At 42.1% G+C, this 19,868-nt stretch overlaps 1 annotated feature.

Moving 5' to 3' along the window:
* Nucleotides 10,388-10,747: a silencer, noted in NCBI's record as "silent region_2022". NCBI's record gives its function as "represses an Ori minimal core promoter by ATAC-STARR-seq in GM12878 lymphoblastoid cells {active_cell/tissue: GM12878}" and the evidence as "EXISTENCE:reporter gene assay evidence [ECO:0000049][PMID:35858748]".

The following is a 19,868-nucleotide window of genomic DNA, read 5'->3' as shown; positions in this document are numbered from 1 at the left end:
TTTTAACTTAAATGTAAAAATGCATACACTTGATTTAGTTGTTGGAAAATTTTTTAGTTTGTGAAGAATAACTTGGTTATGTGAATCTACTTTTTCAACTATAAATTTTATGCACTCTAAATACAGATCAGGCCAGGCGCAGTGGCTCATGCCTATAATCCCAGCACTTTGGGAGGCCGAGGTGGGAGGATCACTAAAGGTCAGGAGTTCGAGACCAGCCTGGCCAACATGTTGAAACCCCATCTCTACTAAAAATATCAAAAAAAATTTAGCTGGGCATGGTGATGCATGCCTGTGTAATCCCAGCTACTCAGGCAGCTGAGGTGGGAGGGTCCCTTGAGCCCAGGAGGTGAAGGTTGCAGTGAGCCGAGATTGTGCCACTGCACTCCAGCCTGGGTGACAGAGTGAGAACCTGTCTCAAAACAAAAACTAAAACAAAAAAAAACAAAGAATGTAACACATCTCATTGATGACTTTTTATATTGATTACATGTTGAAATGATATTTCAGCTATATTGGGTAAATAAAATATATTATTAAAATTAATTTCATCTGTTTTCCTTTTTAAAATGTGGCTACTAAAATTTTTTGAATGACATACATGGCTCATACTATATTTCTATTGACATTGCTGGTCTGGACCCTCCTCACTCATGCTTGGAGCTCTTTAATAGTTCCCTAACTATTCTTTGTGCCTTCTCTTGTTATACATACTCTCTACTAGTTTAATCCTCTCAAAACACTATTTTAGTTTTTTGGGATGGGGTCTCACTTTGTTGTCCAGGCTGGAGTGCAGTGGTACAATCATGGCTCACTGCAACCTCCACCTCCTGGGCTCAAGCGATCCTCTCACCTCAGCCTCCTGAGTAGCTGGGACCACAGGTATGCACCACCACACCCCACTAATCTTTTTAAATTTTTTGTAGGGATGGGATCTTGCTGTGGTGCTCAGGCTGGTCTCGAACTCCTAGGCTCGAGCAATCCTCCCACCTTGGCTTCCCAACGTGCTGGAATTACAGTTGTAAGCCCCTGTACTCAGCCTTCAAAGCACTACTTCTACCAAACGAGGGATGCAAATTCCTAAATCACTTCTCAAGTCCTAGAACATCAGCTCCCTTCTCCCTCGCCAGTCTGTTTCATGGGCCTTCTCCATTTCATCCAGCCCTCCCTTCAAAATCCAGCTCCTTGTTTCCTTCTCTCTGGCCCCAAACCTCAGCTCCATCTTCTGATTCTTCAAGAAAAGCTAAAAAAAATCCAGATTTCTATTTGGAAATTTCTGATTTGCAAAATGTTGACAACTCTGACAGAGACGGCCTACCCAATAGCCATTCCCCCTTTTCCTTAGAACACTGCTTTGAATCTGGGCAGCAAGCTTCCTGGATAAAATAATACATTTCCCAGTCTCTCTTGCACCATGGGTGGATAATAAGATAAATGGGGAAATTAAAGGCAGCCACCTCAGCTGGGAAATGTCCCCTTTTGCTCTCTCCGTCTTTCTCCTTCCTGATAGAATGAATGCAGATGGCTGGAACCCTGGCAGCCTCCTTGTATCATAAGACAGTACTGAGAGTGAAAGCCATATGGCAAGAATGGTGGAGCAGAAAGATGGCTGCCTAGGTTCTGGCTGACTCTGGAGCCACCATCTTGAATTGCCTATCTTTGGTTTGTCTTTTACATGGGAGAGGAATAAACCTCCATCTTATATAAGCCACTAATTTGGCTTTTCTATTCATATGTGGCCAAACCTAATTTGACAATTACTTCAGTGGTTTAAAAAGCACTGTGGGCCAGGTGCGGTGGCTGACACTTGTAATCCCAGCACTTTGGGAGGCCGAGGCAGGCAGATCACAAGGTCAGGAGTTTGAGACCACCCTGGCCAACATAGTGAAACCCTGTCTCTACTAAAAATGCAAAAAATTAGCTGAGCGTGGTGGCAGGTGCCTGTAATCCTAGGCAATTGCTTGAACCCGGGAAGTGGAGGTTGCAGTGAGCAGAGATTGTACCACTACACTCCAGCCTCAGCGGCAGTGGGAGATCCGTCTCAAAAAAAAGCACTGTGAAGATGCAAAGAAACAAAACAAACAAACACAAAACGTGCCTACGGTGCACCTAAAAGCAAAGCATCTGGGCCTCAGTTTACCAATTTGAAAAACTGGTTCATTTCATTAAATGATCTATGAAGCCATTTCCAGGATTAAAACTTTTTGTACATGTTAATTTATTAATCACATATATGAGTGCCTGTTATTTACCAGATACTATTTTAGGTGCTGGGATACGGCAGTGAGCAAGAACATAAATTAAACTCCTCTAACATTTGCACTGTGAATCATTCAGTGCCAATCTTTAAGCCAAGATCAGCCACTCGCACAACTATGTGAACAAGTCATTTAATTTCTGTGTTCTGATGAGTCTAATCACCAAGGAGGGTTAATAATGCTTTAGCTTGGCTGGGTGCGGTGGCTCACGCCTGTAATCCCAGCACTTTGGGAGGCCAAGGCGGGTGGATCACCTGAGGTCAGGAGCTCAAGACCAGCCTGGCCAAGATGGTGAAACCCTGTCTCCACTAAAAATACAAAAAAATTAGCTGGGTGTGGTGGCAGGCCCCTGTAGTCCCAGCTACTTGAGAGGCTGAGGCAGAGAATTGCTTGAACCCAGGAGGTGGAGGCTGTAGTGAACCAAGATCACACCACTGCACTCCAGCCTGGGTGACAGAGCGAGACTCCGTCTCAAAATAAATAAGTAAAATAATAATGCTTTAGCTAGGCTGGGTGTGGTGGCTCACATCTGTAATCCCAGCACTTTGGGAGGCCAAGGCGGGGGTGTCACTTGAGGCCAGGAGTTTGAGACCAGCCTGGCCAACATGGCGAAACCCTGTCTCAACTAAAAATACAAAAGGTAGCTGGGTGTGGTGGTGCATGCCCGTAATCCCAGCTACTCCACAGGCTGAGACAGGAGAATCACTTGAACCTGGAGGCGGAGGTTGCAGTGAGCCAAGATCACACCACTGCACTCCAGCCTGGGAGACAGAGTGAGACTCTGTCTAAATAATAATAATAATAATAATACTTTACCTCACTAGCAATAGCTAATATATGCATTGAGTGCTTGACATAGATGATCTAATTTAATCCTCACATGAGGTGATCCCCAATGTCTTGAGAAAAATAAGAAGAAATTAGGTAACTTGTTCACAGCTAGTAAGCACTAGAGCCATCTTCAAAACTCAGTTTAATTCTTTGGACACTTTGAGGATCAAATGAAAATAATGAATGCGAATATATATGGGGAAATTAGCAATTGCATACAAATTCTTTCTCTAAGGTCACGAGAAAGGTCACTTGAAAGAGAACTAAAACAAAGTTTCTAAGTAGATGATGTGTGTTACATATATAAAGAGCTAATAGGTACTGCTTACTTCCTGTCAGAGACATTGCCAAGTGCTTTGTATCTACTGCCTACCAGGAATCAAATAGTGGCCTACGTGCTGAGGACACAGAGATGAATCATTATGAACAGGTATACTGTAGAAATGAACCCACTATATTTGGGGAACATGATTTAATGTTAGCATTAAGCCTCAGCAGACAGTAACATCCTGCTTTCTTTCTATATATCCTAACGTGTTTACCAACTTATTATAATTAGCTGGGTCACTGCCCTGATCAATATCCCTGAATAATAGTTCCTTAAGTCATTTCATCTTTTGGTTATTTTTTCAGTCTTGGAAGAAAATAACCTCCACAAAAATGCTATGAGGAAAACTTAAAAATGTTAACTTCTGCAATCCCTGTTACATATGACAAGTTGAACATAAGTCTTTATATCACCTCTCCCAAAATTCTACTAAAATGAGCACATTTAAAATTAACCATGGATTAATTTAAATGTGCTGATAACAAGCACATTTAAAATTAACCATGGGTCAGAGACCATTCTAAAGGCTTTTGATATATTAATTGGTTTAATCCTCACAATTAAGGTACTAATCCAGTGAGGTAGGTACTCATATTATCCTCATTTTACAGAGAAGATTCTAAAACTTTCTAGAAAGATAAAACAGGTCACACATAAAAGATCAGGAATTGGAATAACGCCATATTGCTCTATGTCAACATAAAATCAGCATTCGTTTTCTCAACAGAAGAAATTGAGAGATGCCTTCAAAATTCAGAGGAAATGTGCTTTTCAAACTAAAATCATAATCCCAGCCTGTAGAAGAAAGTAAAATAAAAACATTTTCTACCGTGCTCTTGCACAGCAAAAATTTTATTTGTCCCATGCTTTTTCTCAGCAAGTTACGGGCAGATGTACACCCCTCCCCACCACAACGCACACATGGCAAATCAAGAAAGATGAGTACATGAGATCCAAGAAACAGGAAATCCCACACAGCAAGGAGTTCAAGAAAATTTCCAAGTTGTTGGTGAAGAAAAATCCCAGGTGTGTGGTGAGCTCAGAGAGCAGTCAGTCCTGGTTAAAATAGGCAGAGAAGGTTCTGGTAAGAAAGTATTCAAGAAAAGAATAAAACTAATGGGTTATTTCATGTATTTGATCAGTTTACATCTTTATTGGAACATTTAGGGTTGATTTAGTAGTAAGTACACAAAAAATGAAGTAAATAAAAAAGTGAGGCTGGGAGTTTGAGACTAGCCTTGGCAACGTAGCGAGACCTCATCTCCAAAAAAACAGAAAAACTGGCTGGGTGTGGTGGTGCATATCTATAGTTCTAGCTGCTTTGGAGGCTGAGGCAGGAGAGTCCCTTGAGCCCAGGAGTTTGAGGCTCCAGGGAGCTATGACGGTACCACTGCGCTCCAGCCTGGGCAACAAAGCAAGACCTTGTCTCTGAAAAAAATTTTTAAATGATTTAAAGCAAGACAATTATTAACCAGGAAAAACACATTTAAAACTTTAAATTAAAAATCATTAAAAAGTAAAAGTTAACAAACATTAGGAGAACCAAAAAGAGTGTACAAGAAAAATGTAATTAGCTGTGAACTATATAAAGATGGAAATGCTATTTATTTAACAAAAACAAGGATATGACTACACTGGAAAAATGATGGGAAGGTAATGGAGCAAGAGTTGGGAATTACCCTTCTCAAAAAGAAACAAATACATTCGGCCAGGCATGTGGTTCACACCTGTAATCCTAGTACTCCGGGAGGCCGAGGCGGGCGGATTACCTGAGGTCAGGAGTTTGAGACCAGCCTGGTCAACATGGTGAAACTCTGTCTGTACTAAAAATACAAAAAACAATTAGCCAGGCATGGTGGCATGTGCCTGTAATTCCAGCTACCCGGGAGCCTGAGGCAGGAGAATCGCTGGACCCCCGGGAGGCGGAGGTTCCAGTGAGCTGAGATTGCACCACTGCCACTCCAACCTGGGCGACAGAGCAAGACTTCATCTCAAAAAAAAAAGAAAGAAAGAAAGAAAGAAATAAACAATTACATTCAAATAATCAATAGGTTGAGTTGATCATGGTTGCCTCTGGGCAGTGGGTTGGGAAGGTGGGACAGGAAATGCGTTTTTTCATTATAAATGTAATGACTCCCATGTCCTAACTTCAATTCTTTAACCTCATGTACACAAATTAAATTTAAAAATTACTATAACTTGTGTAAACTATCCCCTGACTTTTCCAGCTGCCTGATGTATCAAGTCAAATTCTTCAGCCTGACCTTAAAGTTTCTCTACAATCTGTCTCCACCCTCCCTATATAATCTTATCTCTGATTTTTTCTCCCATCTCGTACTCTTAGTTTCAGTCAAGAACTATTCACTTGGCCTTCCTTAACCCTTTCCAAACATTATGCACCCAGCCTGGGATGTTCTCCCTTTTATCTGATCCAAACCCCTACCAGTGGATGGAAGAAGCCAGCACTAGAGTGAAAGTTATTCTCTGAGAACATTAAGAAGCACCAAAATGTTGTGAATGAGCTCAGCAGATTGGTAGTTTGATACACTGAGAAAGAATGAGTTCATAGAAGAGGGATAGTCTGTATGTATCTATAAAAGTAAGTTGCTGAATTATTCCACATAAATTCATTAAGTGCCTACCATGTGCCAGAGGCATATTACCCTGGGTGCATATAACAGGAGGAGGTATAGTTAAATACCAAGAATTCAGAGGGACAAAGGTATTACAATGAGTCTCTAGAGGACTAGAACTTTCTAGAAAAAAAGGAGTCAATGAACAACCACAAATGTCTCATCTACTAAGCAGACACGGTCTCTGTAGGGAGGGACGCTATGGGCTTGATGATATTTAGAGAATGGTTTATCAAAGTTCCATTTTGTGTCAGGCTAGGTGCTTTACATTCATTAAATCTGGCCCGCACGATAGCTCAATGGGATATATCTGTTACTATTTGCAGTTTGCAAATGAACAAACTGAAGCTCACGAAAGCCAAGGTCTCACAGCCAGAGTCAGAGGTGAGATTTTAATGCCCATTCTTGCTCCGCTACAGTCCACGGCCTCCACAGCCAACCAAATCATGCTCACCAAATCATGCTCACCAAATCATGCTCACCAAATCATGCTCATCAAGCAAACTTCTGATTTAATTTGACGTCACATGTAGGAGAAATGCTCTGGTTAGTCAATCTAATCTTACTTTACTAGGCAGTTGTAGTAATAATAAAAATATTGACTGATAGCATATATTGAACATTCGTTGGGCGCCAGGCTAAGAATTCCATGTGCGTGGATTAGAAACTATTATCCCTCCTTTACAGATAAGAAAACTAAGGCATAAAGGATGTTAATAACTTGCCTGGTGGCACACAACTATGAAGAGAGAGAGTCTGTGCTCTTGATCATTCTATGTATTGTCATCTAACATACACAATATTATTGAAAATATGACTTATTCATTTAAATAATATGTAGTGAGCACCTACTCCATGGCTTGGGGCTTGCTGGGAGAATATCAATGAAGTATAAGACCTAGTCTCTGTCTTGTAAATATGTACAGTTTAAGTGAGGAGGCAAGACATACGTAGTAAAATTATTGGATAACAATCAAGCTTTGTATATAATTAAGTATTGAATTGATTAGTGCAACCAACAAGGGCATTGAGATTTCAGAGAAGAGGAGCTCATTGAGCTCCGAAGCAGAGAAGAAGTTGGGGTTGAACAGAACCCAGCAGAAGAGAGAGAGGATTCTAGGAAAGAAATGAGAATGGTGTCTAGCGGAAAGGGACCTACTGGACCCAGTGGGTAGAGCAGTAGGATCCACAGGCAACTTCCTTCACAGCCTTACCTCTGACATTTTCAAGTTCAGAAGCGCCCTTCTTGGGCTGCTGATCCAATGCTCTTTCCAATTCAACTTTTTTTTTTTTTTTTTTTTTTTGAGACAGAGTCTCGCCCTGTTGCCCAGGCTGGCCTGGAACTCCTGCGTGATCCTCCCTCCTGAGTAGCTGGGATTACAGGCATGCATCACCCTCTGGCCAATTCAGCTTAAAACAAGAAAGTGCCAACACGGTAGCCTGAGCTTCTGAGTTTAACCCCTTCATCTCCTAAATTAGCTCCTAAGAGATTCAGGGACTGGGAGACTGTATGTCACCGGAAGGTAAAGCAAAATGTGTCTTGTTCATCACCATATCCCAGCGCCTCTAACAGAGACTGCCTCTTGCAGGTGCTCAATAAATGTTTATTAAGGAAGGAAAGAGCCTGCATAGCTAGCTGTCACTGTAGCCCAGTGGTTAATAATGTGAGGGGCAGCAGGGTGGGGTGGAGCCCAAACTCCCAGCTTAACATCTGGCTCTGCCGTGTGCCAGCTGTGTGATCTTACACAGTCACTTCACCTGCCTGTATCTCAACTTTCTCATCTGTAAAATGGGTCCTATGAGAGTATCTTCCTCATAGGGTTATTGTGAGTATTAAATGAATTAATAGACACAAAACACTTAAAACAGGGCTGGCATCTATTAAGAGCTACTTATGTTGCTCTTATCAGTAGACTGGCTCCAAAGCCAGACCACATGGATTGAAGCCTATCTTTGCTGTTTATGAAGAGAGTGGCTTCTCTGAACTTCAGTTTTTCCATTTGTAGTGTGGATATTATACTAACATAATAGTATCTATCTCATAAGACTATTGTAAGGATTAAATGAGTTAAAAGCATACAAAGCACCTAGCACAGGCCCGGAGCATCCCTCGATAATATAAGACAGTTACTCTCCTTGCTTAGTCACTGGGCTTTTCCTCTTACTCCACCACTGCAGCTGGCAGGTGGTAGCACATGTCTGAATTAGGCAAGACTTTATTTATGGAGTTTGTGTAGTTCTACCACTATCAGTTCCTCTTCGGCTTCCTTCTAGGGTAATCTGTACTTTAAAATAAATTTTAGACTTTTTATTATGCAATTTCCAAACATATATAAAACCAGACAGATGAACACAGTGAACCCCCAGGTACCCATCTCCCAGCTTCAATGATTATCCATCATACCACAATTACTTTCTCTCCTTACTGCCACTAGGTTATTTTGAAACAAATTCGAGATACAATTTCATCTATACTATTTCACTATGCGTCTTTAAAATCGAAAGAATATTTTTTAACATAACCACAATCATATTGCCACTCCTACGCATTTTTATAGTAATTCCTGCATATCATCAAAAAGCCAGCCAGCATTCAAATTTCCTTGATTTTCTCATAAATTATTTTATTTTACTTTTGCTTTTTTTTTTTTTTTTGAGATAGGGTCTTGCTCTGTCATTCAGAGTGCAGTGGTGTGATCCTGGCTCACTGCAGCCTCAATCGCCCAGGCTCAAGCAATCCCCCCATCTCAGCCTCCCAAAAAGGTGGTACCACAGGCATGTGCCACCACGCCTGGCTAATTTTTTAATTATTTGTAGAGACAGGGTCTCACTATGTTACCCAGGCTGGTCCTGAACTCCTGGCCCTCAAGCAATCCTTCTGCCCCAGCCTCCCCAAATGCTGGGATTACAGGCATGAATCACTGTGCCCAGCCAAATTATTATTTTTTAATTTATTATTTTTATCATGGTAAAATACACATAACATAAAATTTACCATCTTATTCATTTTTAAGTAAACAGTGGTATTAAATCCATTCATAATGTGCAACCATTACCATCATCCATCTCCTTAACTCTTTTTTTTACAATCTAAAAAAAAAAACAAAAAAATACCAGTATCCAAACAAAGTCCGGATGTTGCTTTTGTCTGAAGTTTCTTGGTCTCTTCTGACCCTAGAGGAGTTTCACGCCCTCCTTCTCTACCCCCTTGCAATCTATTGTTGAAGAAACTGAATGATGCGTGCTGTAGAGTTTCTCACTTTCTAAATTTTGCTGATTTTGCTTCCCCATGATGTCATTTAATATCTTCCTCTGACCCCTGGAATATTACATAGTCTTTCATAATACGTCAAAGACTTCTATGGTTGTGTCAGAAGGCTACAGGAGCCCTGGCTGAAAGTGGGGTATTTGGGCCATCAAATAAATAAGTAAATAAATACTGTAGCATATTAAGACACATCAAGTATGGTAACATCCACCGGTTGAGAGTAATGCTCCAAAAATAGATGGATTGGTCACCTTTGGAGAGTGCTAAGGAAACAACTCTTTATTCCAAAAATAAAGAGTAAGGATCAAGTATTTATTTTGCCCTTCCTGTATGAACTGTATTTAGGGTAGCCAAATAATTGATGGGAAAAGATCCTGCTGATACATGAAAGAAATGATAAATTAAAATATTGCCATTTTGCAACCTCTAATGAAATGAAGTATCTAAGCAATGATTATCAATGGCTGCTGAAACCACAGGTGAAGAGCTGAAGGAGAACTTTATAATGGACATATCGGGTTGACAGGATCCGAGCCCACTGATCAATCTTAACATCCCTGAGAGACACCCCAGCAGGTATGATGCGCACTGGATGTGACACAGTAGGAAGTCTGCAGCCTATGAAACAGACATACCAAAACAAATCTGAATCTGAGCAAGCCTCTCTGTGTAGCTCCCAGCTCGAAGGTAGTTTGTACTTTTTTTTCCAAAATGAGCAAATACTAAATAAAAAGCCAACAAAAATCCTTAGGCACATGTCCAACTGAACACCTCCTCATGGTGAGTGCGGGAAAACAGTCCTAGTCAGTACATTTGGGCCCCCACAGTTATAAAACCATCACATTCCCGAGGTGAGAATAGTTCTGCATATAACAAGTGGAAATTGCAGAGCGGAGGGGGCTTTGGACTTTTGGATGAGCACGGAGAATCTTTGTTTATCCTAATCTACAAGGTAAACTCGTTTCACACATGACACGGCTTTCAAATACATGGCTACTGCGTTCAGGAAAACGGTGTGACAGAGGCAAGCTGGCATCTGACAGCGGAATCATCCGTCAAGAATCCCTGGCGACGTGAGAGAGAGCGGAGGTGGCTCTGACGCGCCCACGCGGCTCGGGTAGTCTCCGCAGCCCCCGCGCGCACGTGGCGCGGTGTGGGTGTGCGCGCCCCCGAGCTGCCGGCTGCGCCGGTGCGCGCAGTTGTCAAGTGGGCTGGTGCCTGTCCCCGCCTGCCTCCCCGGGTCCCCGCCTGCCTGCCCGGGTCCCCGCCTGCCTCCCCGGGTCCCCGCCTGCCTGCCCGGGTCCCCGCCTGCCTCCCCGGGTCCCCGCCTGCCTCCCCGGGTCCCCGCCTGCCTCCCCGGGTCCCGCCGCGTGGTGCCCAGGAAGCGCGGGGCTCCTCGCACACGCTGCCGGCCTCATTATTTCTTTAAACCTGTTCGTATTTATAATCCAATTCCGGAAAACCCAAGACCCATAGGCTTCTCCCTCCCTACGCTCCAGTCTCAAATTCTGCATTCCTGGGTAAAGCCATGTAGATGCGGATCTCATTTTGACAGATAACTAAATTACATATATTTCGAAAACCCGCAACTCTCATAAGATTTTTACCAGCTGGCCACCAGTGCCCAACATATTGCACATTTTGGAGTCGTTTAGTTCTCCACTTTCTACTTACGAGCACTGGTACCTTTTTTTTTCTTTTTTAATTTATTTCAGGGATCACATGAAAAAATATGAATTACAAGGAATGAAATTTCAATACAAAAATGAGTCCTAGATTCTTACCTTAGGTGGACTCTAATTATTATTATTATTATTATTATTATTATTTTTTTTTTTTTTTTTTTTTTTTTTTTTTTTTTGAGACAGGGTCTCGCTCTGTCGCCCAGGCTGGAGTGCAGGGGCGCAATCTCGGCTCACTGCAAGCTCCGCCTCCCGGGTTCACGCCATTCTCCTGCCTCAGCCTCCCGAGTAGCTGGGACTGCAGGCACCCACCACCACGCCCTGCTAATTTTTTGTATTTTTAGTAGAGACGGGGTTTCACCGTGTTAGCCAGGATGGTCTCGATCTCCTGACCTCGTGATCCGCCCGCCTCGGCCTCCCAAAGTGCTGGGATTACAGCGTGAGCCACCGCGCCCGGCCTATTTTTTAACATATAGGAAGATTTCAAAGTCCACTGGATTCTTACTATTTTGCTTTTGAATGCATAAAAGAAACAGCCAAATAACACTTTTCAATAATTTATTTTTAAAAGTTATTTTATTCCTAAACAGTAGAGTTCACATCTTTTTCTGCTAAGTTCTTCCACAAGCTGGCAAAGGATCCAAGATGTAGCCTGGCATTTATCTTTGTTCTCTTTGCCACTCTCATGGAAATATGGTGAATGCAGTCCGTTCTTAACGGTCGTATTTAGCCTCGGTTCTGTGAATTCGATTTTCTTTTCCTTTTTAAAGGCGATAGAGTGGGATCCAATAGACGTTGGAGCTGACTCTGAGCTTTTTTGACTTGTACGTGTCACATCTGAAGGCAAGTTCCCTCGTGCTGGATGAAAGCTAAAAGGCTGGGTGCCCGGTTTACCATCAGCTCAGGGCAGAATAATGATGCGAGGCCTGACATTTAATACACCAGTGATCCCAGATATTGCTGCTGAAAGCTTTCTCCACAAAGCAGGAACCAGAAGAACCTTACGGCAGTGTCTGACTTTAATTCACAAGTGAGGGAGCCGTGAGGTGAGGGTCAACTATCACGTGTCTCTTCAACACAAGGGAAAGAACTGCCCAGCAAAGAGAACCCTATGTATGTCATAAATATGAGCTCACAGAGTGCGTGGACCCTTTCAACGCAATGTCAGAGGCTGCCTCTGCAGAATTGTTTTAGATAGGTTTTTAACCCTGTGGGACCCTGCCTCATGGGAACAGTGTCTATGCTGCAGTCTCTAAGCAAAGAATAGACTGGGATGCCTTTTGTAGGTTATATCTGCATGTTTTTTTCTCCCTCTAAGTCACCTTACCCCAGAAGCTCTCTTTTTATAAGATATCCTACTAGGATTCTTTAGGAGGGGAAGGGAAATGTGATTCTTATGTACGGCAGCTGTCATTTCATGTACTTGTCTTTACTTCTTTGTTAGTGGTGCTTATCACAAAATATTATTAATTACTTCAATTCACTAATTATCTTGTTTTTCAGTTGGTTTCGACAACCACTAAGGGACATTACTAAGGCTCTGCTTCAAACCAATACCGTGATTGTTAAAGTTTCAAATGTGTATTTCATAAGCAATTGTTGCTAAGGATTTTTTGTTGAAAAGATAAAAAGTATTATTTGTTAAGTATCATCCTTATCATGACATCAATATACTGAATATGGCTTCCACTTTTTCCAGGGCATTGAGAAGGCCTGAGCTTCTCAAGGTCATGGCCACCCCATTCCCTTCCAGTGTTCTAACACTGCTAGGACTATAGGCTGTGCACAGAGAGTATTTGCTAAATAGACAAGAGGCTCCTATTTCAACTTAGTTCATTTTTTTTGTTATAAGAAGTGGGCACTGGTGAGAAATCATGGAGCACAACTAAAAAGAAAAAAGAAAGCTTTGAAAATTTCAGCTCTGCAGAGACTGTGGGAGGAGAGGAAATCCTACCTGTAAAATAAAAACTTGTCTTAAAAAATAAATATAAGGAGAAACTAAAACCTAAAGTGGAGAAATGAGATACTGGGCTTGATTTCATATGCCATCCTTGCCCGCAATGAACTGGTTATCTTAATGGAACACAATAAGTTAATTTATCATGCTGATATTCAAAAAACAAACACGATGATTAGCTCAGGTTCCCTTAAAATAATTTCCTTTTAATTACACATAAGCAGATACTTATTATGCTGAATTAATTAATCTTAGAATAAATTAATCTTAATGTATACTGATACGGAGCATTATTCCATGTCTGAAAATTGGCCAGAATTTTTTCTTGGTTATGAGAGAGAGCCTGCCGTAATCTAAGTCTATGTGGGATTCTTTGACGTACAAAGAAGTTATCAACTTGTAGAGCTGGGAAGAATCTTGGAAATCTCATGCTCCAACTGGTTCAGTTTATCCAAGAAGGAACTGGAGCCCAGCGTGGTGAGAGGACGAGCACCAAAACAAACAGGTGACCGGAGCGTGAGCGTCAGAAGCTCCAGCTGCTGCCCTAGTCATTGATGCAGGTTCTGTCCCAGTGAAGGGGGGAACATAAGCTCCCTTCACTGGGACAGAACTACATCAATTACCCCTTCAGTATTTCATCTGGAGTTTTTCTCCCTTTCCAAAACTTTTAAAACACAGTATTAGAGAATTTCCAAATAATAATAATAATAATAGTCATAGAATGCCCTCAAATTCACAGAAGCATTACATATTATATGCAAAATTATGATATAGAAGATATTTCATCTTTTGAGAGAGATGTATAAGAAAAGAAAAATGTAAAACAGATTTTGTCAAATTTGCTCAAATCAATTTTTTTTGAGGTTTTGTTTTGTTTTGCTTTTGAGATGGAGTCTCACTCTGTTGCCCAGGCTGGAGTGCAGTGGCTCGCCCATGGCTCACTGCAACCTCTGCTTCCCAGGTTCAAGCGATTCTCGTGCCTCAGCCTCCCGAGTACCTGGGACTACAGGTGCGCACCACCACGCCCAGCTAATTTTTGAATTTTTTAGTGGAGACAGGGTTGGTCTCTACTAAAGGCTATTGGTCAGGCTGGTCTTGAACTCCTGGCCTTGAGTGATCTACCCACTTCGGCCTCCCAAAGTTCTGGGATTACAGGTGTGAGTCACCGCACCCGGCCATGAACTTCTTGAGTTTTAATCATGTGTACCAACATAAAGGATCAAACTTGATAGTAAGACAGGGGTGCAATCTTACGAAATCTAATCTAAACAATTTAAAGAGTGTCAGTCGATAATTTTCAAACTTTTATTCTTAAAAATATTGCTCAGAACCCTAAAACACCGTAACAGATGTAAGTGGAGCTGCTCTGGTTAAAGTTGAAAAAAAAGAGTCCCAGTGACTTGGCCTCCTTTCTTTTCCTTCATTGGAGGCTGTATGGCTCAGCTGGAAAACCCAGTGATTGAAGGGAATTCCTAGAAGCAGTCAGAACTAAGCCTAGACAAACAGTGGTGCATGAGCGTGGCTGAGCTGTTTTATTATGTTCACAACCAGTTTAATCACTATCTCATGATGAATTTAGCTTTGCCTCTCTGATGGTAAGTTCAAATATACTCTTCTCTCTCTTTAAAAAAAATTTTTTTTGAGACTTGCTCTGTCGCCCAGGCTGAAGTGCAGTGTTGCGATCTCTGCTCACTGCAGCCTCTGCCTCCTGGGTTCAAGTGATTTGCCACCATGCCCAGCTAATTTTTGTATTTCTAGTAGAGGCAGGGTTTCACCATGTTGGCCAGGCTGGTCTCGAACTCCTGACCTCAGGTGATCTGCCCACCTTGGCCCCCCAAAGTGCTGGGATTACAGGCATGAGCCACCGCACCAGGCCTCTGTCTCTCTCTCTTTTTTTTTAAGTTCTGTATGTTTTACTTGATCTTTCATTCTCTGTGGCAGAGTTTTAAACTATAAGATGTGTAAGAATCACCTGGGAATCTCCTTGAAAATACAGCTTCCCAGCCTCTATTCTTTTTTTTTTTTTTTTTTTTTTTTTTTTTTTTTTTTTTTTTTTTGAGACGGAGTCTCGCTCTGTCGCCCAGGCTGGAGTGCAGTGGCGGGATCTCGGCTCACTGCAAGCTCCGCCTCCCGGGTTCACGCTTTTTTTTTTTGAGACAGAGTCTGGCTCTGTTGCCCAGGCTAGAGTGCAATGGTGTGATCTTTGGCTCACTGCAACTTCCATCTCCTGGATTCAAATGATCCTCTCACCTCAGCCTCTCAAGAAGCTGGGACTATAGGCATGCGCCACCACGCCCAGCTAATTTTTGTATTTTTAGTAGAGTTGGGGTTTCACCATCTCTCGAACTGGTCTTGAACTCCTGACATCAAGTGCTCCACCTGCCTTGGCCTCCGGAAGTGCTGGGATTACAGGCGTGAGCCACGGCGCCCGGCCACCGGCCTCTATTCTGCAAGTTCCGTCTCAGGAATTCCGGAGTGCAGCCCATCAATCTGTATTCTCACAGAGACACTTCAAGTGAGCTGCAGGCCCCTCAGTGAGCAACACTGTTCAGGAGCGTCTCATAAAATGCCTTACACGAGGCGCTTATGTATCACGCTTATTTCCTGAATTTAATTTTCATCATATTAATTAAAGAGGGGCTTCATATTTTCAGGTCCTAATGATTATGCAAATTATGACAGTACTAACTGATAATCTCATAATTATATATTAAATTGGAATGGGTGCATAGGTTTTTGACAAAAATGAGTCCTGTGGGGCTTTATGGAAAGTACTTTGAGTAAGCAGGAACCTTAATACAGTAAAGTAATAAATTGAAAAACCACTAATGAGGCTGGGCACGGTGGCTGGTGCCTGTAATCCCAGCACTTTGGGAGGCCAAGATGGGAGGGTTGCTTGAGGCCAGGAGTTCAAGACCAGCCTGGTCAACATAGGGAGACCCCATCTCCAAAAAGGAAAAAAAAAGAAAAAAGAAAAACCACTAGTAAAGAAAATGTAGAAGGAATCTTCTTTCATGTGATAGCATTTTTCTAACTGAAATCAGCAACTAACATTATACTTAGGGATAAAATCCCATAGACATTCATTTACAAATCTGAAACAAAAGCACAAAGTGTGTCCCCTCATCGCCACCATTATTCAATGTTGTTCTGGTAGTTTTAGCCCATGTAAAAAGATGATGAAGAAATGAGCCTATTGGGAAAATGAGATTAAATGATTCCCTTTTTTTTGCAGTTGCTATGTCTGTGTAGTCAGAAACCCCAAGAGAATCAACGAAACACTGATGGAAAGAATAAGAGAATTCATAAAGTAGCTGGTTATAAGACCGATATTAAAAAATAGCTTTCCTATAAACCAGTTACAAAATAGAGTGGGAGAAGTCAAAATATCAACCAAAGAGGATATAAGTCTAAATACAAACAAAATGAGAAGTGTAAGAAAACTTTAGGAAGAAAACTAAGAATCTCTCCTGAAGCACTCGAAGCCTTCAGTCAATGGAGAGGCATGTCCTGTTCCCAGCAGGAAAGATTTCATATTAAAACACTGTCTCCAAATTAATCTACACTTTAACTCAATTTCAAACAAAAAATCCAAAAGGATTTTGCTGGAAATTAGCAAAGTGACTCCAAAGTTAATCTGGAAGACTAAATGCATGGCAGTATCCAAATACAATGTTAAATTTCGCAAAGGTCTCTCTTAAAAAGGAACATTCACATTTACTCCTTCGGTCTTCTAACTTTGTAGAGTAAAATTGCCTCCATTTAATTTTCATTTGATAGTTGAGAAACTGAGGCACAGTATGGCTACCTTTAAAAGGCCATTTCTGGCCAGGTGGGGCGGCTCACGCCTGTAATCCCAACGTTTTGGGAAGCCGAGGCAGGCAGATCGCTTGAGCCCAGGAGTTTGAGACCAGCCTGGGCAACATGGCAAAACCCCGTCTCCACTAAAAATACAAAAAAATTAACCAGGTGTGGTGGTGTGCATCTTTAGTGCCAGCTACTTGTGAGGCTGAGGCGGGAGGATTGCTTGAGCCTGGGAGGCAGAGGCTGCAGTGAGCCGAGATCGTGCCACTGCACTCCAGCCTGGGCGACGGAGTGAGACCCAGTCTCTAAATAAATAAATAAATAAATGGCCATTTCCATGAACACTCATGGGATTGCCGTGCTCTCTCTACTAGACCAGTGCTGTTGTCAATTATATTAGGTTTTTCCCCTGTCATTATTTTTATTTTTTTATCTCAACAAATTTTTGACTCAGTACCTGACTATCCCATGGAAATAACAAAGCCCAGCCCCAATATCACTTCTTGTATCTGTCACGATGATGCAGACTCTCATCTCTATCTCTCAGCGTAATTGCATGAATCCCAGTGACTGTGATTTCTACATGGCTCAAATTGTAACCTATTTTTGTAGTTCTCTGCAGACCCACCACGGTTTCCATTCTTCCTTCATGTTCTCCTTGATCTAGAGTAAAATACAGCTTTCCCATCAGAAGTTATTCTTGCAAGGATTCTGTGTGCTTTGCCTATATTTAGTCACCTGAATCCTCTTATCTGTTTCAGTTTTCACCATGAAAATTGAACTCATTGAAATATCCAAATTTCTATTTCTAGCCAAAGAATCTGGTAATCTGCAGGCCAGGCACAGTTGCTCACGCCTCTAATCTCAGCACTTTGGGAGGCCGAGGTGGCTGGATCACAAGGTCAAGAGATCGAGACCATTCTGGCCAACATGGTGAAACCCCGTCTCTACTAAAAATACAAAAATTAGCTGGGCATAGTGGCACATGCCTGTAGTCCCAGCTACTCGGGAGGCCGAGGCAGGACAATCAGTTGAACCTGAGAGGCGGAGGTTGCAGTGAGCTGAGACTGCACCATTGCACTCCAGCCTGGCGACAGAGGGAGACTCCGTCTCAAAAAAAAAAAAAAAAAAAAAATCTGGTAATCCCCAAGAAAATAGTGATTACCAAATCATCACACTATAATTTTTAAAATAACATACTGAAAGCACTAAAAGATTCTTGGTAGACCTGAATTAAGTGTGACTTTGTATGTATTTTACTACTAATAATAACCATAATAGCAGTTAACATGTGTTAAGTGTTCACTGCGTACCAGCTGCTGCTCTTTCTGAGCACTTTACATGCATTAACTCATAATCTCAACAACCCGATTCTTCAGTTACATTTATAATTTCTGTATTACAGATACAGAAATTGAGGGACAGAGAGATAAAAGCCACTTGCTTATAGTAAAAAGCAAACAAATAAATAAGAACAACCATAGCAAAACAATTGCTAAATGACTGCACATTTAAGGCCGCAACTTTCAGATTGCATAGTTTCTTTAGACGTGTTACTCACCCAAAGTACTTGTACTAATTTTGTATTTTAAAAACCCATCATTGGAAATTAAGACCCTATTCCATTTGAAAAATATATCTGTGTATTATGTGGGGCAGAGGTCACCCACCCAGGAGTTTGCAGATTTCCCCAAATTGCCTTTCTAGTATTAGAAGAGCTTGACACAAATATAAAAAGTTTGTCAGGCTTCCTTTTCTCTCCTGGAGAATGATCTTTCCAAATAATTAACAGTGGAGACCTCTGTTCCCACCTCATGTGAGTGGTTGCTTTTTTTTCTTTCTTTTTTGAGATGGAGTCTCGTTCCGTTGCCAGGCTGGAGTGCAGTGGCATGATCTCGGCTCACTGCAACCTCTCCCTCCCGGGTTCAAGCGATTCTCCTGCCTCAGCCTCCAGAGTAGCTAGGACTGCAGGTGTGCGCCACCACATCCAACTAACTTTTGTTTTTTTAGTAGAGATGGGGTTTCGCCATGTTGGCCAGGATGGTCTCAATCTCTTGACCTCATGATCCCCCCGCCTCGGCCTCCCAAAGTGCTGGGATTACAGGTGTGAGCCACTGCACCCGACCACAAGTGGTTGCTTTTTAAAGTCTTACTGCCTGGCCGTGGTATTGAATTTCCACACAGGTGCTGCTGTTGCAACTCTTCAACCTAGCAGTCAACCTAGCCATTTTAAAACATTTATTAAAATGAAACTATGCACCTTCTCTATAGTTGCTGTTCAGTAATACTTTCCTGTCCGGATGGTCGGTTGGAATGAATGGATGGAAGGATGTATAAATAACCTCATTCTTCTTTGTGTACCTTGTGATTTGAGGAGAGGGTCAATTATCAGAATATAAAAGACGAGTGGTCTCTAGGTGCAAAGAAGTAGACTTAATTAGGAGACTGTCCTGGGAAATGTAGTATTGGAAATGTTGAAACTATTAAGAAAAGAGAAAATACACAGCAGTATCAATATCGATATACATGCGCCAGTGAATTCTAGTGTTGGATGGGCTCTGTTCCTTGCTTGTGTCTTGTTCTCCTGCATCACCTGTCTTTTGTTGTTGTTGTTGTTGTTGTTTTTGTGTGTGTGTATTTTTAGTAGAGACAGGGTTTCACCATGGTGGCCAGGCTGGCCTTGAACTCCTGGCCTCAAGTGATTTGCCCATCTCGGCCTCCCAAGTGCTGGGATTACAGGTGTGAGCCACCACACCCAGCCCTGCATCACCCGTTCTCAGCTCAGCTGTGGTGATGAGGATCTCGTCACTCTGGACTCCCCGTACTGTTTCCTTCCCTCCTTCCTTCCGGGTCTCCCTAGGTTGCCCAGGCTGGTCTCCAACTCCTGTGCTTAAGCTTTCCTCTCACCTTGGCTTCCCAATGTGCTGGGATTATAGGCGTGAGCCACCGTGCCTGGCCTGTGCTGTTTATGATTGATGGTGACTGTCCCCCCTGCTTTTGGTATCTAAAAGATCATACACTTCATAACTGTATAAAATCACTAAAAAGGGATTGATTTTGTGATGTCACAATTTTTGTCCATGTAATCGAAATGAAAATTCTGGCAG

Source organism: Homo sapiens, chromosome 1 (assembly GCF_000001405.40).
Source record: "Homo sapiens chromosome 1, GRCh38.p14 Primary Assembly".
In the NCBI taxonomy this organism is placed as follows: domain Eukaryota; kingdom Metazoa; phylum Chordata; class Mammalia; order Primates; family Hominidae; genus Homo; species Homo sapiens.
This window is presented reverse-complemented; position numbering and strand designations above follow the sequence as displayed.